General features: G+C 52.8%; 2 protein-coding genes across 2 annotated transcripts in view, besides 4 other annotated features; one reads left to right on the forward strand and one right to left on the reverse strand.

Moving 5' to 3' along the window:
* LRRC37A2 (leucine rich repeat containing 37 member A2) overlaps positions 1-26,036 on the forward strand; it is a 676,337-nt gene that overhangs the window by 401,900 nt on the left and 248,401 nt on the right. The gene's annotated exons all lie outside the window — the stretch shown is intronic.
* Positions 1-26,036, reverse strand: part of WNT3 (Wnt family member 3) — a 56,187-nt gene that overhangs the window by 12,186 nt on the left and 17,965 nt on the right. The window lies entirely within an intron of this gene.
* Positions 1,455-2,130: an enhancer, noted in NCBI's record as "H3K4me1 hESC enhancer chr17:44853512-44854187 (GRCh37/hg19 assembly coordinates)". NCBI's record gives its function as "activates a minimal SCP1, AML or CMV promoter by ChIP-STARR-seq in primed H9 embryonic stem cells {active_cell/tissue: H9 hESC(primed)}" and the evidence as "EXISTENCE:reporter gene assay evidence [ECO:0000049][PMID:30033119]".
* Positions 7,291-7,977: an enhancer, noted in NCBI's record as "H3K4me1 hESC enhancer chr17:44859348-44860034 (GRCh37/hg19 assembly coordinates)". NCBI's record gives its function as "activates a minimal SCP1, AML or CMV promoter by ChIP-STARR-seq in naive H9 embryonic stem cells {active_cell/tissue: H9 hESC(naive)}" and the evidence as "EXISTENCE:reporter gene assay evidence [ECO:0000049][PMID:30033119]".
* Positions 10,545-11,462: an enhancer, noted in NCBI's record as "H3K27ac-H3K4me1 hESC enhancer chr17:44862602-44863519 (GRCh37/hg19 assembly coordinates)". NCBI's record gives its function as "activates a minimal SCP1, AML or CMV promoter by ChIP-STARR-seq in naive H9 embryonic stem cells {active_cell/tissue: H9 hESC(naive)}" and the evidence as "EXISTENCE:reporter gene assay evidence [ECO:0000049][PMID:30033119]".
* Positions 11,463-12,379: an enhancer, noted in NCBI's record as "H3K27ac-H3K4me1 hESC enhancer chr17:44863520-44864436 (GRCh37/hg19 assembly coordinates)". NCBI's record gives its function as "activates a minimal SCP1, AML or CMV promoter by ChIP-STARR-seq in naive and primed H9 embryonic stem cells {active_cell/tissue: H9 hESC(naive and primed)}" and the evidence as "EXISTENCE:reporter gene assay evidence [ECO:0000049][PMID:30033119]".

The raw sequence follows: 26,036 nt of genomic DNA on the forward strand, positions 1-26,036 counted from the left end.
CATCAACTCTCTCAGGTTTTATAGTCAACAACAGAAAGAATGACCTTATGGGGGTGGGGCAGAAGAGTTTAAAATACTAGAAAACCAAGGTAGGAATTACGACTTTTCCGTTCCCTGCCCTCAGCACAGGAACAGCAGAAATGACATTTTCTGGGAGAACCTGAGAAAATGATCCGTGAGTGTCAGTGGCCTTCAAGGACAATTGCAATCTGCTGTATGACCAGGGGCAGTGTGAGCTGGAAGAAGGGGCCCATCTCCTCTCCCTCTGTGTCCAGCACTGACCAAGGCTTTGGTCCAGCATTGGCCTAAGTCAAGTTTCCCACAAAAAGTGATGGGCAAAAGCCTCGGAAAGAGGGGCCGGGAGAAGACCCCATGGGGCAGGGTGAGGTTTTTTGTGTGCTTTTTAGTACACAAAAGCTTCTGGGCTGGACACAGGGCCGAGCCAAACATCTGCCATTTGGCAACTGTTACTGCTTGCCAGGCACTTTATATACAACATTTCTGATCAATTCCCAAACATGAAGAACATCACTATCTCCTGGACTAGGAAACTGAGGTTTAGAGAGTGAATTAGCTTGCCTACGGCTTTTTGGTCTGTGGTGGGTCAGAGAGTGCCATGTGCCTTCCCCCGGGTCCCTCCTCCATACTTGAGCTTGATGTTGGCCTTGGCCAATTCGTGGAGACTCCAAGGCACAGAGCTCCCTGGGCACCGTGCAGGGGCATGCTACCCATCCACCTTGGTTGTCTCCAGGCTCAGTTGTCAGGGGGAGAGGCAGGTTCTCCTTTTTCCATTTGTTTATTTTGGGTGGAGGAACTGAGGAGCCAGATCTGGGAGTTTGGATGGTAACATCTGTGAGGCATTCCAGGTCTTAAGCACTGAGCTTTTTCTAAAGAGAAAGAAGCAGCAGCCAGAAGTTCTTTTTTTTTTTTTTTTTTTTTTGAGACAGAGTCTCGCTGTGTCACCCAGGCTGGAATGCAGTGACGTGATCTCGGCTCACTGCAAGCTCCGCCTCCTGGGTTCACACCATTCTCCTGCCTCAGCCTCCCGAGTAGCTGGGACTACAGGTGCCCACCACCACGCCCGGCTAATTTTTTGTATTTTTAGTAGAGACGGGGTTTCACCATGTTAGCCAGGATGGTCTCGATCTCCTGACCTCGTGATCCACACACCTCGGCCTCCCAAAGTGCTGGGATTACAGGCGCGAGCCACCACGCCCGGCCCAGAAGTTCTGATTTATCGGTGGTAATGGCTAATTACTGATTTCCCCGGTGCCTGGCCCTGAGCAGAGGCTTTTCCTTGGGTTTGCCTCATTTAATCCTCAAAATAGCCCCAGCACAAAGTAGGGTCATTATTAGCCCCATTTTACAGATGGCTTAGCCTTGCAGGTTGATGAAGCAGCCCAGACCACAGAGCTCCTATGGAATTGCTGGTTGGAACCCAGGGTGTCAGACTCCAGAGCCCATGGGGGTCATCACTATGTGACCCTGCCTGCTGGGCAGTGCCTGCCTGGGTCTTCATGGGGTGAAGGTGGCTTCAGGCCTGGCCCATCTGCACCCTGGGCCTCCATACTGAGCACATGCCTGAGTGGGTAGAGTCAGTGAGCCCAGAGCCCTGATGGGCACACGGCGCACACAGCACTGCCCCTGCCCTGTTAGAAGCAGGTTAGAGTGATCATATAATCCCTGTGGTTTATTATGGGCCTATCATGTGCTGGACACAGTTCTGAGTGCTTGTGTCTGTTACCTTATGTAATCCTCACGGCAGGTCTGTAATAAAAACTTCATTATCATCGCCATTGTCCCATTTCCAAGATGAGGAAACTGAGGCCAGGGAGCTAAGTACCCTGCCCTGTCTGCCAGGCTGCAGAGGTCCCCGTTGAGCCTCCCTCTGGGCTCAGGCTGCCCCTCCCGTGCTCTTAAGCAGCATCTCCAGCCCAGCCCTGCTGTGCCAGCTGCCCCCACAGCCCTGCAATCACTGGAGGGGAAACTGAGGGAGAGTTCAGTGCAGACAACTCGGCCTTGCACCATCCTAGATGGGCAGCTCAGGAACAAGACCCAGGGAAGAAGCCTGGGCTGTCCCCGCTCCTTCCTCTGGTGTTTGGGACCCAGAGCCCTATATGGGACCACTGGAGCGGAGAGCTGAGGCGGGAGTGAGAGGCACTCGGAGACCCTTCCTCTGCCCTCCTCCTTCCCCTCCCGTTGCCTTCCTGCCTCCTCCTTCCTCCCCCTCTCCCAGCCCTTGCTTGACACCTTCTGCAGGCCTGGGCACCCTCAAGCTAAACTGGAGGCTGAGCCCTGGTCCAGCAGCAGAACCCACAGGAGGAGCCCTAAGGGAGCACAAAGCCCATTATACAGATGAAAAACAGAGGCCGACCATGCCAGGTGGCTCACGCCTGTAATCCCAGCTACCCAGAAGGCTGAGGCAGGAGAATCGCTTGAACCTGGGAGGTGGAGGTTGTTGTGAGCCAAGATCATGCCGCTGCACTCCAGCTTGGGCGACAGAGCGAGACTTCGTCTCAAAAAAAAAAAAGAAAAAGAAAAAGCAGAGGCCGTGAAAGAGGACCAACTTGTGCGAGGTCACACAGCCATATCCACAGAGAAAGCCAGGCCGGCTGGCTTGGGGGACTGAGGAGTCGGGGGGCCCATGCTGGCAAGGCGGCTCCTCACCCAGCTCTCCAAGGGGCTCCCTGCTTCCTGGTTTCACCAGTTACCTCCCTCAGGGTCCCAGGTGGGTCTTCGCAGCCCAGCAGAGCACCTGAGCTCTGGCACACTGCCTGCATGGCTTGATTGGCCTCAAAGGTCGGAGTGCTTCCCAGACATCTCCAGGAAGAAGGTGCCACTGAGCCCTTCCTGCTGTGCAGACGCAGTCTCTCCTCTGCCCCACAGGGATTTCCTTCTGTCCCCACAGTTACCCGGATACTGGCAATACTAATGACAACTATTTATGTAGCACTTGCTCTGTGCCAGTCACTTCAAATACATAATCTCACTGAATCCTCACAACAACTCTGGGAGGTGGGCATTGTTATCCCCATTTTGCAGATGAGGAAACTGAGGCATGGAGTAGTTGGGCGACTTATGCAAGGAAGTGGCTGAGCCAGAATTCAAGCCCTGAGTTTGTCTGACTCCCAGTGTGATGTCCTCTGAGAACAATTCCTGAGCCTCAGTCATGATGAGCTGTTTTCCCTCTTTCCACCAAACCCTGTCTCCTTCCTGTTGCCCAGGTCCCACCAACTGTGGACCTGGGAGCCATGGTGCCAGGGTCCCATCCAGCTCTACCACTTCCTAGCTGCTGATCTCAGCAATTTTCTTAACCTCTATACCTCAGTTTCTTTATCGGTAAAATAGACACGACAGGAGGAATAAGTGACACAATCCAGTGCATGGCACGTGGGGAGCCCTTGCTAGATGGTGGTTGCTATGGTTACGGTGTGTGTGGAGCTGTCCCCAGCACTTTGTTCCCTGCCTTGTCACCAACCTCATTTCTCCCATCCTTGCATCCCTGACTTGGTAGAACACATCAGAAATCTCAGCCCCTTCCTATCCAACACTGGAAAGGATGCCTGGATCAGACCTCAGTCCTCACAGGGGTGGCAGAACAAAGACAGTTGTGATCTGGATGAGGGTTCAAGGTCACTCAAAGAGTGCAGGCAAAAGGACATTTTCAGGATGCTCCATTCAAAGGCTTCAGTTCAGATGGGGTCATCCTGCGAGTAATTAGCAAGGCCTCTGGCGATGGGGCTTAGCTCCTGGGCCAGTGTCGGAGACTAAAGAGGCTGTGGCCATGGGATTGATTTCTGCAGGATGGCTGCCCTTCCCCAAACATGCCCGGCCACCCCCACCCTGAGCCTCCTGCCCGCACACTGCTGAAATTCCACCATCGCAGACACATTACTTTAACTCGCCACTCCTATTCCCCATTATTGAAGTACACGTTCCACTTCGGGAGGCGGCACAGTGACTCTCATGCTCCTCGATTCTTTGTGCCAAAGTGTGCGTGGCTTTGACGGATTTGCCTAGCCAGCTGAATGACTCCAGCGGGGCTGTTTCACACTTCTGCACATTTGCACATGCTGAGCCCTCGGCTCGAAGCACCTCTCCACTGCCCGGCCCCCGGCAACCATTCTACACCATCCTTTGAAACCTGATTCCTAGGTCACCACCATTCTAAAGCCTTCTGTGAGCTCCAGACAGAAGTCACCTCTCCTCCGCCTGAATCTTTCCTGTACCTAATTCAAACCTTCTTATCCCAAAGTGCTGAACTGATTTGTTTCCAATTCCATCTGGCTATGCCAGTCTCAGTCTCCAAGAAGAGAGGTAGTGGTAGTGTTTTCTCCAGTTATTCCCCGGTCCCTACCCCATCACACACACACACACACACACACACACACACACACACACACACACACACACCCCAGCCCACTCGGCCTTCCAAAGGGCCGGGCACATGCTAGGTATTCATGATTCTGGAGGAAAGGAATGAAGAACTCTTCCAAAGGACGAGCCTGATGCCCCTCACTCGCCAGACCTCCCGGCATCCGGAGCTTCCGCCTACACACAGGACAAGACTCCTTGGTTCCGCTGAGGAAGTTCCTACGTTTAGGATCTGAGATGATGGCCAGGCTCCCAAGGGGGATAGAGACCTGCCTGGCACTGACAGCTGGTGAGGGGGAGGGCGGAGGACCCTGCCAGGCCTTCGCAGCTGGGCCAGGGGCTATTTATACCCAGCTCCTGGCCCGGCCCTTCCCTTCCCTAGGACCCTGCCACCCTCCTCCTGAAGCCGGCTCATCCTCCACTCCGACCACCCACTGCCCAGCTGGGCCGAGGACACACACGGGCAGCCAGGCGGATGGGCTGCGGGTGCCCTGCACAACAGGCTGCTTGTGGAAACTTTGGTGTTGACCCCTTGGAGTGAAATATCCCTCCACAAATAGGCAAGACCTAAACCTTGTGCATGGCCTTATCTAACTCCCATCCCCACCCCAGTTCTGTGCCTCTACCCTGATAACGCCTGCTGTGGCCAGAGGGCTGCAGGAGGCCTGCATGGTGAGCACAAGGCAGAGAGGACCTTTTTTTTTCTTTTTTTGAGACAGAATCTTGCTCTGTTGCCCGGGCTGGAGTACAAAGCGTGATCTTGGCTCACTGCAACCTCTGCCTCCCAAGTTCAAGTGATTCTCCTGCCTCGGCCTCTCAAGTAGCTGGGATAAGAGGCATGCGTCACCATGCCCAGCTAATTTTTGTATTTTCAGTAGAGACAGGGTTTCGCAATATTGGCCAGGCTGGTCTGGAACTCCTGACCAAGTGATCCACCTACCTCTGCCTCCCAAAGTGCTGGGATTACAGGCGTAAGCCACCATGCCTGGCCATAGAGAACATTTTTAGAGAACATTTTTAATCAGTGAATTCAGGTCAGCCTGGATGCTGCATTGACTTACGCACCTAACATATGGTGAGACACCTAAAGGCACCCTGTACAGTGCGTCCTGCCTGATCTGACACTGGGGTTGTTGGCCTCAGATGCTGCCGTCCACCCAGTGACGGCCAATCCCCTGCTGATGGGGGTCTGACTGTGCTGCCAGGGACACCCACTGTGCTGCCAGCACCCACTCCCCTGAGTGATCCATTAGGGTAGGCAGTCCTGCACCCAACCAGGTGGCCTCCCAAATGGAATCACACACAATCTCCCTCCTCTCCCCTACATACAGAACATATGAAAAGAGGGCCCTGTCCCTCAAAAAGTTAAACATAGAATCACCCTATAATCCAGCAATGCCACACCTGGTATACGCCCAAAAGAATTGAAAATGGGGACTCTGCCCAGGTGCGGTGGCTCACGCTTGTAATCCCAGCACTTTGGGAGGCCGAGGCGGGAGGATCACGAGGTCAGGAGATCGAGACCACGGTGAAACCCCGTCTCTACTAAAAATACAAAAAATTAGCCGGGCGTGGTGGCAGGCGCCTGTAGCCCCAGCTACTCAGAGAGGCTGAGGCAGGAGAATGGCATGAACCTGGGAGGCAGAGCTTGCAGTGAGCTGAGATGGCGCCACTGCGCTCCAGCCTGGGTGACAGAGCAAGACTCTGTTTCAAAAAAAAAGGAAAGAAAATGGGGACTCCAACAGACACCTGTACACCAGTGTTCACGGCAGTGCTACTCACAGCAGCCAAAAGGTAGAGACAACCCAAGAGTCCTCAGCAGATGAATGGATAAACAACAGGTGGCCCATACATACAGTGGGACCCTATTCAGCCAGAAAAAGGAAGGAAGCGGGTGTGGTGGCGGTAATGCCAGCATTTTGGGAGGCTGAGGCGGGTGGATCACCTCAGGTCAGGAGTTCGAGACCAGCCTGGCCAACATGGTGAAACCCCATCTCTACTAAAATACAAAAATTAGCCGGGCCTGGTGGTGCGTGCCTGTAGTCCCAGCTACTCAGGAGGCTGAGACAGGAGTATTGCTTGAACCTGAGAGGCAGAGGTTACAGTGAGCCAGTTGCGCCACTGCACTCCAGCTTGGGCGACAGAGCAAGACTCTGTCCCCCCAACCAAAAAAAAAAAAAGGAATGAAATTCTGATGCTTCTGATGCAAGCTACAACGTAGAGGAAACTTGAAAACAAGCTAAGCGACAGAAGCCAGACACGGAAGAACAAATACTGTATGATTTCACTTACATGAGGTTCTAGGTAAAGACACGCCAGCTTAGGCAACAGAGTAAGACTCTGTCTCAAAAAAAAAAAAAGGAATGAAATTCTGATGCAAGCTACAACATAGAAGAAACTTGAAAACAAGCTAAGCGACAGCAACCAGACACATAAGGACAAACACTGTATGATTCCACTTACATGAGGTGTCTAGGTAAATTCACAGGGACAGAAAGTAGAACAGAGGTTGCCAGGGGTTCTGGAAGGGAGGGAGTGGGAAGTTACTGCTTAATAAGTACAGAGTTTGGGATGATGAAAACAGACGGTGGTGATGGTCACACAGCATTGGAATGTACTTAATGCCACTGAATAGTACACTTTAAAATGGTTAAATAGCAAAATTAAAAAAATCAAAGGAGGGATGGTGCTTGCATCCCCAGCCTTCAACTTCGCATCTAGAGCCCCTGTGCAGGACGAAATTCCAGAGCCCCGGGTCTAGTCTAATTCCCTCTTCCTCTATACGGGAAGATTGAGGCCCAGAGAGGTTTGTCATTTTCCGGGGTCACACAGCTGGCTGCCCAGGAGGTGGGAGGAGAACCCAGGGCTCACAGTTCTTTTACCCACCAGGCTTTTAACCTGGGGGTGATGAATGCACATTCTCAGAAGCTTCTCTGGGGCTGGGCACAAAAAGGACCCACCTGGCTTCACATGGGTGGAGCTGCAGAAGGTGGACCCAGGGGCTGCGGCCCAGGGAAAGGCTCCCCTCCTCCCTTCGGTCTCAGGGTGCTCTCCAGGGCCAAGTCTCCCCAAGTCATGCCTTCTTTGCAGAAATAGGCCCTTTGCCCTTACCTTTCTCCATGCGGAAATCTAACCATCTGTGCCAGCCTCAAAGGGAAGGCATCTTAAGACTCTGATCTGAAGATCTAGTGTCTCTTAAAATGACTGACATGGCTGCTGAGAGGGAGAGGAGGAGGGAAGGTGAGGAGAAGGAGTCAGAAATCACCTCTCCTGTGGTCATTTTTCTCTCCCTGTGGTGGGGGCCACGGTGCTCCTGTCAACCCCACAACAGGCCAGGGCCAGGTGCTCCACCTGCTGGCTCCTGGGCAGTACTGGACAGAGGCCCAACTTGTTCCTGGGCCCAGAAGGGCTCCACCCTCCACGGAAACTTCTAGAAGGGAAAGGAAAGGTTTGAGGAAAGAGCAGGAAGTGAGGAACCAAGCGTTGGCTTTGGAACTCAGGCCTCTACCTTTCCACTTAGGTCAAGAAGCCGTTCAGGATTGGCAGATGTCAGGACAGGAAGCCTAGCCAGTTCAGGGGCATGTGTGCACACCGTGGGGCTGGGCCTGGTGGGCTCTGATGCACCCAACTACACCCATAGTGACGAGGCAATCACTGCTGTGGATGAGGGAGGCCACAGGCCTGGACTGGAGCCGCTCACCTGGCTGCTTGGCAGGGAGCTTGTGACAAAACCAGAGAAACCTAGCTCAGGATTCCAGCTGCCACTGTTCCTCGCCCTCCTGGAACACATGTGCACCCTGCGGGTACTGAGCACAGGTCTGGACCTTCTTGACATTTCAGTGCAGGGCCAAGGGTAGGGGGTTTCTTCTGAGCCCAAAGGGACTCAGGTGGGGCTGTGTCCTGTGGCTGTGGGAGAGCGCCAAGGTGCCTCAGGGGGTGCCTTTCATCAAAGAAGTGGGACATGTCTCTGGGCCTTGCCATTAGGGGCTAGTTCATTCTCTCAACGGGGCTAGTTCATTCTCTCAACGGGGCCCTCTGGCTCGCCTGCATCTCCAGCAGGGGTGGGAGCACCCTTGCCTATGTCTAGGACAGGAAGGGAAGGGTGAGGGTAGAGTGGGTGCAGGCCCTGAGCTGGGACCCAAGGTCTTGAGATAAAACCATGAAGGAGCAGCTGCCCGGGCTCTAAGCCCAGTGGGCTCCTGTCTTGATTTAGCCCCAGCTGTCAAGACTGGGGCCTGGTGATTTGTGGAGTCAGTGGAAGTGCCTGTCCTTCAGAGAGCAGGTTGAAGTCTGGCCTTGGTAAACAAAGTCATTCACTGCCTATTCACTCAACACGCACGAATTGAGTGATGACTCTCAGCCTGGCAGGGTTCCAGGTTCTGGGAACGTGGAGATTAATGAAGCCACACCTGAGGAGCACCCAGCCCAGGAGGCTGCTGTCAGTAACAGACCAACAAGCATTTCTTGAGCACCTACTAGGTCTGGGCACTGTGGGTGCCTTAAATGAGTGAGACATGGTCCCAAGGCACTTGTAACTTTCAGCCCCAGTAACCTCTGGGCCAGAGGGTGCACGGTCAGGGCGAGCGATCTCTAGGAACGGGGGCAAGTGTGTCCTCACTGCCTCTGGAGGGCTCCATGTGGAGCAGCTACCGAGCTGGAGAAGGATGGCTAGGGGCCCTCAGGTGGAGCCAGGTGGCAGGGGGACAGCCCCAGGCAAGGTGGCATGCCTCCCCAAGCCAGGGTCTAGGAGCCACACAGAGAAGCAGAGGAGGGGAAGCAGCTAGAAAGGGGCCCTGAGTGCCAGACATTATTCGGACAAACTAGCACCTTCCTTAGCTGGGCTTTGGAATATCATCCTGTTAGTTATGTGCAAAATGAGACAAGAGGTGGGTGCTGGGAAAGCGGCTGGGAGGCGGGGTTGACGTGGATGCTAAGGAGACTCTGGGGCCTGGGGATCCATTGCAACCTCCCAGGGCTCAGCTCTCATTGTGCAGCTGGGCCAAGACCCATGTGTCTGGGTCACCGGGGTCTGTGGCAGGGGATGGGCCCGCTGGTCATCTCAGGACAGTGGCTTCAGGAACAGACAGGAAGCTGTGAATAAGGACTGGTAGCCGTTTGGTCCCATGAGAAACAGGAGGAAGGAGGAAAGTATGGCCAAAGTTTTGAGCCAGGATGACCAGGAAGATGGAGATGGTGTCCACCAAGATGGGAAGGTAAGAAGCAAAGCAGCTTTGGGAACAAGACGAGGAAGTGCGTGGGGCCAGAGGGACTTCCAGGCACCACGTAGAGACAGAGCTGGGCCCAAGAGAGGGACGGAAGCTAGAAATCCATCTGGGGATGCTTGTAAGGAGCTAAAAGTTGAATTATACTTTAGGCCCCATCTTGGCTGTGGGCACACGGTGGGAGGACACTGAGCGTCACGGTGGGAGCATTGATGCCATATGCCAAGGGGTGGAGGCACCAGGGAGGGGGCTGGGGGCCAAGGGGCAGCCAGCCCAGCTTCAGGGCCTGAACCTCACACTAGGAGGCTGGAAAGGTGGGCTCTCCCGAAACCTCAGCCCCTGCCCAGCCAACACTGGCAGCAGGCGCCCAGGTCTGGCTTGTGTTTTCCATATTCCGGACGAGGTCCCCACGAGATGCACAGCCAACATACCTACACAGAGGGAGCCACTGTGCCCCTACCTCCTCTGCGCTTTCCCCTTTTTGCTTTTCTTTTTTTTTTTTTTTTGAGATGGAGTCTCGCTCTGTCGCCCAGGCTGGAGTGCAGTGGCGCGATCTCGGGTCACTGCAAGCTCCACCTCCCGGGTTCACGCCATTCTCCTGCCTCAGCCTCCCGAGTAGCTGGGACTACAGGCACCCGCCACCATGCCCGGCTAATTTTTTTGTATTTTTTAGTAGAGACGGGGTTTCACTGTGTTAGCCAGGATGGTCTCGATCTCCTGACCTCGTGATCTGCCCGCCTTGGCCTCCCAAAGTGCTGGGATTACAGGCGTGAGCCACCGTGCCCGGCCTCCCCTTTTTGCTTTTCTTATGATGCATCCTAAGCCTTCAGTGCACAGCTGCCTTCCCTTGGGGACCCCTCTCTGACCACACAGTGGGACCTCCCAGCCCTAACCATGCTCCTGTTACAAGCTACAAAGCCAGCTCTTCCCTGTTGTCCTGGGATCCAGGTTCTGGGTCTATCCCTCACGTTGCCTCGGCTTAACTCTGAGCCTTTGGGCTTTGGCCAGCCCTTCCTGGACCTGTCACCCTGCATTGTGTCACTAATGTCACCGTGAGTGCAGCAGGAACAGAAAGGTGAGGTCTGGGGGTGACTGAGTGGAAGGGGATATCCCAGGCAGTGATCCACGCCATAGGAGAAAAACCCATGCACACGGAGAAAAGATAACCAAGGAAAAAGCTATTCCTTCCCCTCCGACAGGAGCCCCCGAGGACAGGCCCCAGGAGCCCCGGAAACTCACTAGCCCTGCTGGCCAAATGACCACTTCTACATGCTGTGGACGACTTTAGCAACTCCCTTCTGCCCGCAGCTTCTGAAGGTTCCCTTTCAGGGCCACGAGGGGCCTTCCGAGGAGGTGGCACAGCTCAGCTGCCAGGGACCACCTGAGAGCCCGGGAGGACCATGGTTCTGGGCAGCCGTGGGGAGAAGGAAAGGGTGCGGGCAGGAGCTCAAAGCCAAGGGTTTGGCCACAGACTATACCTCAGTCAGAGGGAAGAGGCTGCGGGCCCTGTGCTCCATCCCAGGGAGCCCTGTGGGATGTTTCTTTGGGGAGAAAAGGGAAGGGAGGGAAGGGGTGTGGAGGGCGGGGCAGTGCCTGGGCTGGAATGTTGCAGCTTCTGTTCTCCAAAGCAGCTCCTGGAGCGCCTGCCTGCGGCTCTGGCTGATCTGATAAGATGTGACAAGACCGCCTGAAAAATGTTGAAACCTGTAAAATGTTTAAACCTGTTTTTTGTTGTGTTGTGAGCATGAAGTGCTTTTTCTTTCTTTCTTACCCACCCCCCCACCCCTTCATTTCACAGGAAAGTGAAGTTGATAAGCCTGGAAAAAGGGAGGAGGGTGCGAGAGAGGGATTGTTGCCTTCAGCCAAATTGTGGTCCGGGGCATGGAGCAGTCTGGTGGGACCTGGGGAGGAGGAAAGAGAGTGGAAACAGGAGGGAAGAGGGGACAAGAGGTGAGAGGAGTCAAGGGTGGAAGAAGGAGGAGGACAGGAGAAGCGGGGGATGGAGGGGTCCTGCACCCCTGGCCTGCTCAGCAGCCCCAGCCCATCCTCCCCAGGACCAAACACAGTCCCCCACTTGGCACCCCAGAGGAACCCCAGGGCTGTGGGTCTCTTCCTTCAGGCAGGGGATTCACAGGGAAGGGCCTAGGCCCAGAGGGGTGTCCAGAGACGGGTAAAAGGCAGGGACCTCACTCTTCAGACCCCAGAGCGTCTCCCTGAGAGGCACCAAGCCCACAGGTGGGCAAGTGCTGCCTGGTGACCACAGAGGGGAGCAGCTCCCAAGGACACATGCTGAGAGCTGGGTCCGTTTCTCCACTTTGCTGCGCAGTTCAGGACTCCCAGGTAAAGCCCAGATGCCCTGTGCGTGCTCAGGTAGGGTCCCAGCCCTCTGCCTTCAGACACACAAAGGGGTGCCGTGCTCTCTGTTACTGAGGATGTCATCAAGGCCCAGAGGCCTACTTGGGGTCACAGCATTTCTGCCCATCAGTTTTGGGTGATTGTCATACAGCTCCCCCTAAATGTCTAGTCTTGGCAACTCAGGGGATGCTGAACATTCTAGAACATTCTAGAAACCCTGGTGGGCCCAGGTGTCTCTGGGGGTGCTCATCAGTACAAAGATAGATGTTCAGTAAAGGCCATTTTTCTTTTCTTTTTTCTTTTTTTTTTTTTTGAGACAGGGTCTCACTCTGTCACACAGGCTGCAGTGCAGTGGCACAATCACAGCTTACTGCAGCCTTGAACTACTTGGCTCAACCAGTCCTTCCACCTCAGCCTCCTGAGTAGCTGAGACTACAGGCACATGCCACTATGCTCTGCTAAGTTTTTAAAATTTTTTGTAGAGATGAAGTCCTGCTATATTGCCCAGGCTGGGTTTCGAACTCCTGGGCCCAAGCAATCCTCCCACCTCAGCCTCCCCAAGTGCTGGGATTACAGGTGTGAGCCAGCGTGCCCAGCCAATAAAGACCTGTTGAAGAAAAGTCTCCACCTGTGAAAGTTTTCTTGCTATTGGAGTAGGGCGGGGGCGGGGGAACAATAGGAGTGTCCTGGAAGGGCTTTAGGAGCATTCTGTAAATGGCCACGCATGTTAGTGATTCTATTACAGTGTTAGGTCATAAAATGTCAAAGCTAAGCGGGACCTTTGACATCACCTAGTTCAGCTCCTTGGGGAAATTAAGGCCCAGGGAAGCGATGTGCCTTCCCTGCTGTTCCTCCACTGGTTGGAGGCAGTGCAGAGAGCACAGCCCAGGCCTGCTGACTCCCAGCCAGAGCTTGTCTCTCTCATAGCACGCAGATCGTTCTTGAAGTGCCCCAGACCTGATCATCTGAAGGCTGGGCCTCATTCAGTACCTGCATACTATGTGCCCAAGATGTATGAGATGTAGCCTCGGCCGGGCGCGGTGGCTCACGCCTGTATTCCCGGCACTTTGGGAGGCCAAGGCAGGCAGATCAACTGAAGTCAGGAGTTCGAGACCAGCCTGGCCAACATGGCGAAACGCCTGTCTCTACTAAAAACAGAAAAAATTAACCAGGCGTGGTGGTGGGCACCTGTAATCACAGCTACCCTGGAGGCTGAGACAGGAGAATCGCTTGAACCTGGGAGGCAGAGGTTTCAGTGAGCCGAGATTGTGCCACTGCACTCCAGCCTGGGCAACAGAGTGAGACTCTGCCTCAGAAAAAAAAAAAAAAAAAAGATGTAGCCTCCACCCTCCTCAGTGACCCCACCTCAGTGCAGGTGACCAGTCAGTTGCAGAGTGTGAGAAGTCCCACTTGGGACTTCAAGGAATAGGTGTGCTGAGGGGAAGGAAGTGGGAGAAGGCAAAGAAGTCCCCTTCAAAGAGGTGACATTCGAGCTGGGCCTTGAAGTTGAGCTCAGCTTGGCCAGCTTTTCCTCCTGGAGCTTGGCCATCTGTTTCTTTGCCTCCCACTCCACTAAGTGGAATTCTAATTCAAATTTTTCCTAAGCCATGTTTGCATCTTTAGTTCATTTTAACCTTGTAACATTTCTCCCCTTCCTGACCCCTCCAAACCCTAAGTCAGTCTCCCATTTTACAGATTGGGAAATGAGAACCTTACAGAGTTAGGCTGCCGTTCTGAGCAGCCAAGTCTGCTGGTTCCCACACCAGGACTTTGCTGGGTCCCCACATTGCTATACCCTTCAAGCCAGTTCTGGTAAAAGACAAGACATAGCCTGCCCAGCCCTCTTGTTCGCTTCTGACTCCAGACTTCTATTCATCCCTCAAGGTCCCATGTTTAAATCCCCTTTTAATGTCTCCAATTCAAATTGTTCCCTCTGGCCATTTCCCCAGCTCTTATACATCCGTCACAGGTAACCTTCAATGCACTCAAGTGAATTGTCCACCGACTCCATTGATGGTGAGTTTTTTGAGAGGAGGGATTCTTTCACTCGTTTCCATGTAGAATCTAGCACCTGCTTCAGCAGGTGCAGTGGCCCTGCGAGGACCTCCCTGCGAGGACCTCCCTGCCTCCTTTCCCTGCCCTCAGCAGCCCCACTGAGTGCCCAGTCCTTTCCTTCGTCTCTCCCAGATCCCACAGGCTGTCTCCACGGCGAGCTGAGGGCAGGTGATGGCCATGGCCCTGCTGGCTCTCTGGGCCTTTTAACACAGCTGCTAGCTCCACAGTTTGGGAGTCCTTTGTTTGAATCTTAGAAGCAGCCCAGTGGGGAACACACAAAGCTGTGCTGCTTGGCTGGGAGCTCACTCTTAGAGCAGCTCCCCAGGGCTCCTCAGAGAGCCACCAGCCTGGTGTGTGTCTTTATTCAATAAACATTCACGCTGGGCCAGGCCTTATGCTGGACGCCGGGAGCACAGTGCGTGGGGCACTCCTGGTCTTGCAAGGACTCTTACCTGAACCTGGAGCTGCCCTGAGGAAGCCCATTCTCCTCTTTATGGGGGCCCAGAGGCCACCCTCCCTGCCTCACACCTGATAGCACTGGCCACCAGGGCTGGCACCTACCTGGACTGTCCCATCCACTCTCTTATTCTATGCTCTTCAGAAAACCAAGGACAGTCCCTGACCAGCTGGCTACTGGGGTCAGGGATGCAGGCTATACACTACGGCAGATCACTTGGGGTGGTTTTGAAAAATACAGACACCCAGGCTCCAACACCAGCGTGGCAGGATCAGAGCCTCTGGGGAGGAGTCCAGGAAACTGGATCATTAAAAGCCTCCACCAGAAGTGTGACAGTAGAATGGTATGAGATGATGCAGCAGGAAGGCCCCAACCTTCCCTATGATGTTCTTTGGCCAAAGACGTTTAATCTGATCTAACCAAGCTTTGAGAGGTAACCTCTCAGGGAACACAAGGGACAGAGGAACAAACCAAATGACACCATGGGGAAGCAACTGGACAAATTCAGAGCAGGGTTTGAACCCAGGGCCTTGCCAGCTGGAGTACTAAACCATGGCTGGGCACTTTGAGGCCACAGTGCACTGGACACTGCCCAGGGCTCCAGCTTGGACCTCCAGCTGGGCCTGGCCCTGGCCCTAAAGCCAGCAGTGGCAGATGCGCACGCAGGAGGCAGCTGCAGGTTGGGAGGCCTCACGGGGGATGCTGCGACCACACCCAGGTGCTCAGGGCAACGATTCCACTCTCTACCTTTCAAGGTGGGTATTTCCACCACATTCCCAGGAGGGCTTCTTTGCGCCTCATCCCCCCACGGCGCTGAGGATGGGCAGGTGAAGACAGCCCTGCCCAGCACCTGGACTTCCCCCACTCTATTTAGGGAGGCCCCACCCAAGTTCAAAGCGCTGGCTGCCCCTCCCTTGCAGCCCCATTCTCCATCCCCAGGCGAGGCAGTCCAGAGCGAGCCTCAACATTTTCCTCTGCACCTCCTTCCCCCAACTTCATCAGTCCCTGCCACCCATTCCTCCGCAGGCTCCTTGCTTTAGCTCTGTCCTCTCCTTGCAACAGGCGCCTGGGTTTGCAAACATGCACTCAGCACCTGTTAGGAGCCGAATCTGGGTTCATTACAGACCCACGCAGGACTTCATTACACATTCCAGCACTCAGCAGGGTGGGCCATTGGTTCTCATCCCTGGCTGCATAGTAAGTGGCCCTGCTGAGCTTAGAAACAAGGCTGCCTGGGCCCCCTGCAGAGAAAGGGATTTAAGTGGTCTAGGTGCTCCCTCCCCTCTGTGGTATCCTCCCTCCCTCCCTCAAGGTTGAGAAGCACTGCCCTAGGTCACAGACAGGGCTGGGGACCTGCCCACAGCCCCACCCTGGGTCCACAGCTGGGGCTCCTGGGTCCTCTGCCCTCCCCCTGGGCCCCACCTCCTATTCCCAGTACCAGTCCCTCCAAGTTGTTAGGATCAACCCGTCCCCTGTTTTCCAACCTCTGGTCTTGTCCACTTCCTCTCCCGAAGTAGCCCTCCCCCATCATCTCTCTCCTTGGCCTCTCAGCAAATCTCCATGTTCACGGCCACAGAAGCAAAACTTCCCTGATCCAGCAGCCATGAAGAAGAAGCATTTGGGCACGCCCCTCCGTTTCCGTCCACCTTGGCAGAAATCAGAGGCCGGCTACTGCGCTCGCGTTTTATGTGCGTTCCAAAACACACGCTCACGTACATCGGAAAAGGACAGGATAAAAGATGTGTTTCAAAAGAAACCTTTTCCTCCTGCAGCCTCATGCGTCATCTGGAACCCCCTGCCCAGGCCTGACTCCTCGTTTCCTCTGGGGTTTTCCTCTTTTCTTTTCCCTTCTTCCTGGTTTCCCCTTAGCTTTCTTAGCTGTGCAGTGGGGTGTATCTGTTTGTGAGTAGGTGGAAGTTCTGTCTGCAAAGGTACAGGATGCTCACACTCTTTGGCTTCAAGGCAGCAAGCCTTTTCCCTACTGGGTTGGGGGCTCCACACCTTCCTTGGTTCTTGCCTGCAGCTACATTTCCCCCCAACCCAGGACTTCGCTTTCCTTACTCTTTTTTTTTTTTCTGAGACAGAGTCTCGCCCTGTCACCCAGGCTGTAGTGCAGTGGCGTGATCTCAGCTCACTGCAACCTCCGTCTTCCAGGTTCAAGCGATTCTCCTCCTGAGTAACTGGGATTACAGACGAGGACCACCATACCTGGCTAAATTTTTTTGTATTTTTAGTAGAGACGGGGTTTCAACATGTTGGCCAGGCTGGTCTCAAACTCCTGACCTCAAGTGATCCGCCCGCCTCAGCCTCCCAAAGTGCTGGGATTACAGACGTGAGCCACCACGCCCGGCCTCCTCACTGTTTTCTGACCAGAAATGGTCCACTCTGCTCTGCAGAGCCTCACCTCCTCTCCCACTCCCTTCCTTCCCCTCACTGTGTACAACACCCTGTCACTCCACCAGGCCAGGCATGCCCTGGTAAGGGTGCTGGGGCACAGGGAGTTTCTGTAATTTCTGTCTGCATTCTACTTACATTCATCACAGAAGTAGGAAGGCATTTCTTCTGGGGGAAACACACGTTGTGTAGAAAAGATAAAATCTCTCTCTCTGGCATGGTGGCGCATGCCTATAATCACAGCACTTCAGAATTTCGAGGCAGGGGGATCACCTGAGGCCAGGAATTTGAGATCAGCCTGGGCAACACAGCGAGACGCTGTCTCTACAAAACACAGAAAAATTAGCTGGGTGTGGTGGTGCACACTTGTAGTCCCAGCTACTGGGGAGACTGAGGCGGGAGGATCGCTTGAGCCCAGGAGTTTGAGGCTGTAGTAAGCTGTGATTGCACCACTGCACTCCAGCCTGGGCAACAGAGTGAGATCCTGTCTCTTAACAAAACAAAAGAAAACAACTCTCTCTTACACATACATAGAAATAGCGAACATTTAAAGTCAAAAAATTCTAAATCTCTGCAAATGGGATGTGTGTTCGACACAAAAGGCAAAATGTCAGTGCACATTAGCCCCAGTTAAGGTTCCCCCAGGAATCACCCTGGCCTAAGAGAAGGCTCAAATCACCATGGGTGGGAGGAGGTGTCCTCCAGAGGGGGGATGACGTCATGGAGCACCTTTTTGGGGACACTCAGGCTGTGAATGAAATAAAGAACGCTTTTACAGGTGATTACCCATAATGAATAAGATAAGGTGGGGTACATTTATTTGGGTAGAGAGTGGCTAATAAGGTAGTGAAGAACTTCACCAATTTCCTCAACTCTGCTCTAAGTAAGGTAGTAAGGAGCCTATTCACTGAGGCACTCAGAGTGGCCATTTTATTATTTTTTTGAGACAGAGTCTTGCTCTGTCACCCAGGCTGGAGTGCAATGGTGCCGTGTTGGTTTACTGCAACCTCTGCCTCCCAGGTTCAAGCGATTCTCCTGCCTCAGCCTCCCGAGTAGCTGGGACTATAGGTGCATGCCACCACACCTGGCTAATTTTTGTATTTTTAGTAGAGACAGAGTTTCACTATGTTGACCAGGCTAGCCTCGAACTACTGACCACGTGATCTGCCCACCTCTGCCTCCCAAAGCGCTGGGACTACAGGTGTGAGCCATCACGCCTGGCCAGTGGCCATTATTAATAATAATAGTTAACATTTATTGAGGCCTGACTATGTGCCAGTTGCCATGTAAAGCACTTTACATAGAATACATCCTTTAATTTGCCAAAGAACCCAATTTAACGGATGATGACATGGGCTCAGAGAGGCCAAGTGACTCGTCTAAAGTCACATAGCTAGGAAATGGTGGCACTGAGATGGCAAAAAAAGCAGTGAGGGCTGAGGGAGGTGGCTCACACCTGTAAACCCGGCACTTTGAAAGGCCGAGGCGGGAGGAGCACTTGAGCTCAGGTGTTCAAGACTAGCCTAGCCGAGAAAGCAAGACCTTGTTTCTACTAAAATTAAAAAAAAAAAAAAAATTAGCTGGGCATGGTGGTGACCACCTGTAGTCCCAGCTACTTGAGAGGCTGAGTTGGGAGGATTGCTTGAGCCCAGGAGGTCAAGGCTGCAGTGAGCCAAGATCGAGCCATTTTACTCTAGCCTGGGCAACAGAGTGAGACCCTGTCTAAAAAAAAAAAAAAAAAAAAAAAAAAAAATGAGGGGAGACATTTACCAGGACAGGGTTTATAGAGAGCATGTTCATGGAAGGCTAAGGAGAAAGGGAAGGAAGTGCTCAGGTCCTGCTCTGCTGCTCCGGCCGCTGTTGGGGTTAACATCCCTGTAAATTCAAATGCTGGGCTCCCGCCTATCAGTCTTTTTTCTTTCGAATGTTGGTGCAGATCTTCCGCACTGGAGGTCCATTTCTCTGTGTCTCAGACAAGGCTGGACCCACGCCCAAGGCATTGCAGGAGGAGAGGAGACCCCCGACCTGAGGGCTGGAGGCATTTGTGTGTGAGACAGGACAAAGAATTTCAGGGGACCAGAGAATTCAAGGTGGCAGAGGGTTAACAAGACCTCTCCCAAGACAACACACCCAGCAGATGCTGACAAATGTGGGCAAGAGTTCCTGAGAGAGAGGCCAGGGTAGATGACACACGTTCCCAGCACCTTCCAACCTGCAAAGCATTTCCTCACACAGCTTCTCCATGAATCCTCTCAACAGCCCTGAGAGTAGAGATGCCGGCTCCAGTTTACCAATGACAGATTGCCATCGGCCAGGAAGTGGAGGTGGAGTTGGACCCCAAATCCCATGCTATCGCTATTTTGCCACTCTGTCCAGACCCCACCCTCTGGAGATAACCAGTTTATCCCAGCAGAGTGCATTTATTCGGCACCTGCTATGTGTTCTTCACTGAACTAGGCACGACGGGGACATAACCAAGACAGTGTCACACGGTGAAATCTAACAGGCATGTTCATAGGGAACAGCAGGAGGTTAGCAAGGGGACAGCCAGCTTATAAACTCTCTGGTGGGAGGGGCGTGGGGGAGAGCAAGTGAAGGAGGACATAGAACAGGGGTGGGGGTGGATAAACCACAAGACCTCAGGGGACTGTGCCCTGAGAGAAAAGGAAGAGGATGGGCATTTCTGGGACATTGATGTCACATAAAACTCCAAAACCCAAGGGACCAAGAAGAAAGGAGGCCAGGGCCTGAGGTCCTGCTGATGAGCTTCAATCTTACTAGCGGTGAAGAGGGGTCACCATCTATGGGGCTGAAAGAAGCCCAGGCCCTATATGCAGGCTGGATCCCCCGACAGGACCTGTCAGAGCTAGAAGGAGCCTTGGGGGTCATCTGGTCCAGTTTGCATATTGCACAGGGCTCAGAGCTAAGGCCATCTCACTGGGCTGAGGAGCCAAAGAACATAGTCAGCTCTGAGAAGGGCTCTTCAAGGCTGGCTCTCCTTTGTTTGCAGAACACACTGTACCACCGTGGAGAGGATAAAAATCTAAAATTCAGCACCTTAACCCATTCTCACACCAGTCAAACTTTCGACAGTCCTATTGGTCTATAGATGCCTGGGAATTCCCTCCTTTCCCAGGTCAGGAAGATCTCGACCTCCTTCCACCAGCTTCCCAGGACTTTCTTTTCTTTCTTTCTTTCTTTTTCTTTTTTTTTTTTTTTTTTAACAGATTCTTGCTCTGTCACTCAGGCTGGAGTGCAGAGGTACGATTCCAGCTCACTGCAACCTGCACCTCCCAGGTTCAAGTGATTCTCGTGCCTCAGCCTTCCGAGTAGCTGGAATTATAGGCACCCACCACCATGCTTGGCTAATTTTTGTATTTTTAGTAGAGACGGGGTTTCACCATGTTGGCCAGGCTGGTCTTGAACTCCTGACCACAGGTGATCTGCCCGCCTCGGCCTCCCAAAATACTGGGATTACAGGTGTGAGCCACCATGCCAGGCCCTTCCCAGGACATTTCTGAGACACCTGGTGGGAATTCTTACCTGCTTACCTCACCTGTGTCCCTCTGAGCCACCATTTTGGCCCTCATTTCCCACCCTCGGGTGCTGAGGGAATTGTTCCCTACCAGGAATGAATCCCCAGGCTTGTCTGCTCCCCCATAAACACCCTCTGGAATGTGCATCCGAAACCTCCTACCCCACACCAGCGCATTCAGCCCCTCTACCGGCGCCCCATGTCTCACTCCCCTGGTGTGGCCAGAACTGGGGATGGTGCAAGAATAAAGCCCTAGGCAGTGTGGAAAGCAGACAGCTGACCCTGTGACTTCTGGGGCTCCCCTCCGAGGTGGGGAAGAACAGAGGAGCTGGCCTCTGGGGTCTGAGAAGACCAGCCGGCCCGTGGGCAAAGGGACGACAGCAAATTCTCCTCCAGTGACCCTCAGCCCCTGACGCCCTGTCTAACCCTCTCAGATCCAAAGCTGCGAGCCCTCAGGAACATGTGGCTACCTCTAACCCAGCTCACTTGCCTGGTTAAAAGCAACCACAGGTGTCCAGCCTGCAAACATTTCCCGGCACACAGGGCCCTGTGCAAGGGGCAGTGGGTGACGACACCAAGCCCAGTTCCGGAGCACCCTGCTGTTCTGCGGCACTGCTGACTCACAAACGATTCTGCCGCTGTGCAGTCTCAAAGCCAGCCCCACCCGGGGATCTCTGTCTTCCTTGGTCTGTCATGAAGGTGCTAGTAACCCCCAGGCTTCTCAGATAACTCCTTCTCCTTCACTTGTGCACTCTTGCTCTCTGTCTCTCTCTGTCTCTGTCTCTCCCTCTCTCTCTCACACACACACACATGCATGCACGCACACACACGTGTGCACACATGTTAAATTCTAACCCTTGCAGTACCATGGATTTCCATTTTGTTGAGATGAATAGAGGATTAAAAAAAAAAGAACTGATCAGGTTGTCGGCAGGGTAATTATCAGTAAAAAGAAACAGAGGAGCTGTCCCATCCGCAGGTGGTAGGTGGCACCCTCCACGCCTGCAGGCCAGGGCTTTGTGATCTGGCTGACCCCAATCCTGATCTTATTGCTACCACCCATTACCACGTTTCCTTGGGAGGACTCAACTTCCTAATGAGAAAAACATCCCCCACTTCAAAGAGGCTGCGGGGAGGAAGAATTGAAATGATGTAGATAAAGCTTTTGTCACAGTCCCTGGCACATAGTAGGTGCACAATAAATGTTGGTTGCCATTGTCATAGTGCTAATAAAGACCAGTGACATCCTCTATGCCAGGCACTGTTTGTGTGCTTGCCGCATATTAACCCCATAATAATTCTGTAAGGAAGGTATGTTATCATCACCCCTATCTCAGTGGGGAAACTGAGGCAGAGATTGGCCCACATTACCCAGGTAATTAGGGACACATCTGGTCTGGCTCCAGAGGCTGAAGACTTAACCACAATGTTCTCCTGCCCCTCTCAGAAGGAGTTGGATGAGAGATCCCATCTGTATGTCCCACTCGGGGCACACAGAGAGGCAAGCGCAACTTGGTTCCTGCCCCGCAGGGGCTCCCAGCCTCATTGGGTGACAGATCCTAAAAATGCAACTACAGGGGACCTAAGACGGGAGAATGATTCACCAGCCAGACAGCCCGGGTGTCCCCTGGTGCAAGATGAGCGGTGCCTGATCAGTCCCTGGTTCCTGGCTGCTGCATAGGAGAGGGGGCTCAGCTGGATGGCTGACTGATTGGCTGACTGCTTCATTCATTAATTCCTGAGTGCATTCATTCATTCCTTCCACTCAAGCCCTCCAGAAAGGGTGGTCTGGACTGAACTAGTTTACACGGGATGATTACAACAGAAGTCAGAGGACTCTCAGCTTGGTTACCGAGGAAAATAAGACCACAAAACCAAACTGACTGAAATAGGCAGGAGAATCTTCTCGATCCCATTTTCCAAATGGGGGAAAATGGGAAAAGGGCTCCAAGGTTAAATATTTTTGGAAAACAAGTTAAACAAATAAAAACGGGTCACACTGGCAGGACCTCTCAGTGCTGCAACTATGCTAATGAGCTGCTAATATTCAAATGAGAACAATAAACACCAAGAGGCTCCAAGTTGCCTGTGGCGATTCTTAAGTTTATTTGACTCCAGAAGCCTTTCTCAACAGGATTATGTGGGGCTGATGTTATAAGAAACACACTATGCGATGTCCTACTCTGGCCCAAGAGCTGTCTGGAAAAGCTGTTCCAAAAACCTGGGAGAGAGTGGAAGTGAGGCTGAGAGGACTCCCAGGAAGACGGCAGCTCCAGGCTGGGTTTTGAAAAATCCTGGGAAGTTCAGGGCCAAGTGGAGGAGGGAAAGGAAAGAGTTTTCCAGTAGGGAATGGGATCCTGAGAGAAAGACGGTGAAGGCCCAAGGCAGTGGAGTCCTCAGGAGTGGGCTTGCCTCGGGCGGGAAGAAGGGCCTTGGGCCATGGGAAAAACAATCTCAAAGATGACAGCACAGATGGGCACAACCTCTTTGGAAAACAGTTTGGCATCATCTTGTAAAGCTCAACATTCACACATCCTGCAACCCAAAGTTCCACGCCTAGGCAGGTACCTCCATGAACACCTTTCCCTGCTGTGCACAGCGAGATGCACATCCATGGCCAGGAGACAAAATAGATAAACTGTATATTCTAAAGATGGACTATTATGCAACTGTGAGCATGTGAGAACTACAGCAAGATCCAGGAACAGTTTGAAACTTAGAAACACAATGCAGAGAGAGAATAGCTCAACATAGAGGGCCACATGCAGTATAACACCATTTTTATAATGCTAAAAATAGGCAAAATAAAACATTTCATTTAGGCATTATTACCTGGGAAAACCAGTTTTTTGTTTGTTGGTTTTTTGTTTTTTTGAGACAGGGTCTCCAGGCTGGAGTGCAGTGGCGTGATCCCGGCTCTCTGCAACGTCTGCCTCCTGGATTCAAGCGATTCTCCTGCCTCAGCCTCCCGAGTAGCTAGGACCACAGGCGTGTGCTAACACACCCAGCTAATTTTTGTATTTTTAGTAGAGATGGGGCTTCACCATGTTGGCCAGGCTGGTCTCGAACCCCTGACCTCAGGTGATCCTCCCGCCTCGGCCTCCCGAAGTGCTGGGATCACAGGCATGAGCCACTGTGCCCAGCCAAAAACCAGTATTTTTAAGTAATGGAATAAATAGGTAAAATTCAGGATGTGGTCACATCTAGAGGGAGATGGGGAATGGGCTGAGGAGGACCCACAGATGGACACGACGGCCTAGTCACGGTCTGGTCCTTCAGGGACATAGTGAGGCTCAGGTTTTCATTCTGTCATCATGTCTAATATATATGATTGTTCTCTTGTATATGTCAAGTATTATGTAATAAAAATATTTTTGATCAGCTTGCAGGAGAATAGCTGGTATCTGCTTAGGCTTGTGCCAGCCATACCATTGGCACATCAGCTCTTCTTCACCCTGAATTCCTTCTCAGAGTTTAGCAGCCCTCTCTCGCCTAAAGGTTGGATGCACACAGTGACTGCCAGCCCTGGATCAGCCTGCATCCCACCCAGGCCTCCTGCACTTCCAGCCACACTCACTCACTGTGCTTAGCAAGGGCTTACACAGCCAGTGCCTCAGCCATTAACTAGGGTGATATTAAATCTACACAGACCACTCCTTGGAACCCCCATAAAAATCCCTGATAGGCTGGGCGCAGTGGCTCACACCTGTAATCCCAGCACTTTGGGAGGCCAAGGCGGGTGGATCACGAGGTCAGGAGATCGAGACCATCCTGGCTAACATGGGGAAACCCCATCTCTACTAAAAATACAAAAATTGGCCAGGCATGGTGGTGCGTGCCTGTAGTCCCAGCTACTTAGGAGGCTGAGGCAGGAGAATCACTTGAGCCTGTGAGGCGGAGGTTACAGTGAGCCAAGATCACACCACTGTACTCCAGCCTGGTGACAGAGCAAGACTCCGTCTCAAAAAAAAAAAAAAAAAAAAATCCCTGATAGCTAACCACATTTAATTCACCCTTCCCTTCCTGAGAACTGGAGGCCTTTGTGAGTACTCTGGCTGAACAGGATACCAGAACGCAAGGTCATGCCAGAGTCTGCATTGCCTTTTGTCCACCAAGTCACAGACTTCTGCCACATGCCTCCCCACCCGCTTCTTTCTTCAGATAGGCTTATTGGTTGGGACAAACCAACATAAAGTGTGTGGGATTCCCTGAAGCCAGCCTTTTCTGTTTTGGAAGGAATTCAGATCTTTCTGCTCTAAAGAAGCCTGGCCTGGGAGAGAATATTTTTATAACCCTGCTACATTAGATGACCTGTAGAACATCTTTAATGATTCACCTTCAACTCAGTTTCTATTATTTCTACTTTTTTTTTTTTTTTTTTCGAGATGGAGTCTCACTCTGTTGCCCAGGCTGGAGTGCAGTGGTGTCATCTCAGCTAACTGCAACCTCCGCCTCCCAGGTTCAAGCGATTCTCCCATCTCAGCCTCCTGAGTAGCTGGGATTACAGGTGTGCGCCACCATGCCTGGCTACTTTTTGTATTTTTAGTAGAGACAGAGTTTCACCATGTTGGCCAGGCTGGTCTCGAACTCCTGACCTCAAATGATCTGTCCGCCTTGGCCTCCCAAAATGTAGGGATTACAGGCATGAGCCACTGCGCCTAGCCAGTTTCTGTCTGTTATTTCATTTCAACCTCACAACTACCTTGAGATCATATTTTTTATTCCCATTATACAGAGGAAGAGACTGAGACTCAGATTTTTAAGCAACCACCCAAAGCAAAGTTCTAGAAGCTATGAAGTGGACATCTGGGATTTGCACCACAGGTGGTTCTGTCACAGAGCCTACCCTCTTTCTGGAGTGCTATGTTGCCTCCCCACACCAAGGTTAGATGCCCAGAGCCGGACTTCCTGGGAGATCACAGAGTGAGGGGAGTGCTGTCCCAGAGAGTGGGGACCAGCTGAGCCTGAACTGCAGCCTGCTTGGGAAGGAGTCTGATTCCTGGGCCAAGTGCTAACAGAATTCCTATTTATTTATTTATTTATTGGAGATGGAGTCTCACTGTGTCACCCAGGCTGGAGTGCAGTGGCGCGATCTCGGCTCACTGCAGCCTCCACCTCCCAGGTTCAAGTGATTCTCCTGCCTTAGCCTCCCGAGTAGCTGGCATTACAGCTGCCCACCACCACACCCAGCTAATTTTTGTATTTTTAGTAGAGACGGGGTTTCACCGTGTTGGTCAGGCTGGTCTAGAACTCCTGACCTCAGGTGATCCGCCCACCTCGGCCTCCCAAAGTGCTGGGATTACAGATGTGAGCCACCATGCCTGGCCTGATAACAGAATTCCTAACTGTGCTCCTGCAACACTCAGGATGATGTGTGAGGCTCGCTAGTGATGCAGAGGCCTACAGAGCAGAATCCCTGCCCTCAGGGGCTGACTCTTACACTGGGAAGACAAGACAGATGCACATGAAGAGGTATCTGAGAATACAGGAAAATACACAACAAGTACCAGCTGGTCTTCCTGGCAGAGCATCACAGAGGCAATGAGAATCCAGCTGGAGCAGGGAGACAAGAGTCTGGGACCAGCAGGTGACTCTCAACAGTGTCCTTTCATCCCACAACCTGTCTTTGAGGATCCACTGTGTG

Source organism: Homo sapiens, chromosome 17 (assembly GCF_000001405.40).
Source record: "Homo sapiens chromosome 17, GRCh38.p14 Primary Assembly".
Classification (NCBI taxonomy): Eukaryota; Metazoa; Chordata; class Mammalia; order Primates; family Hominidae; genus Homo; species Homo sapiens.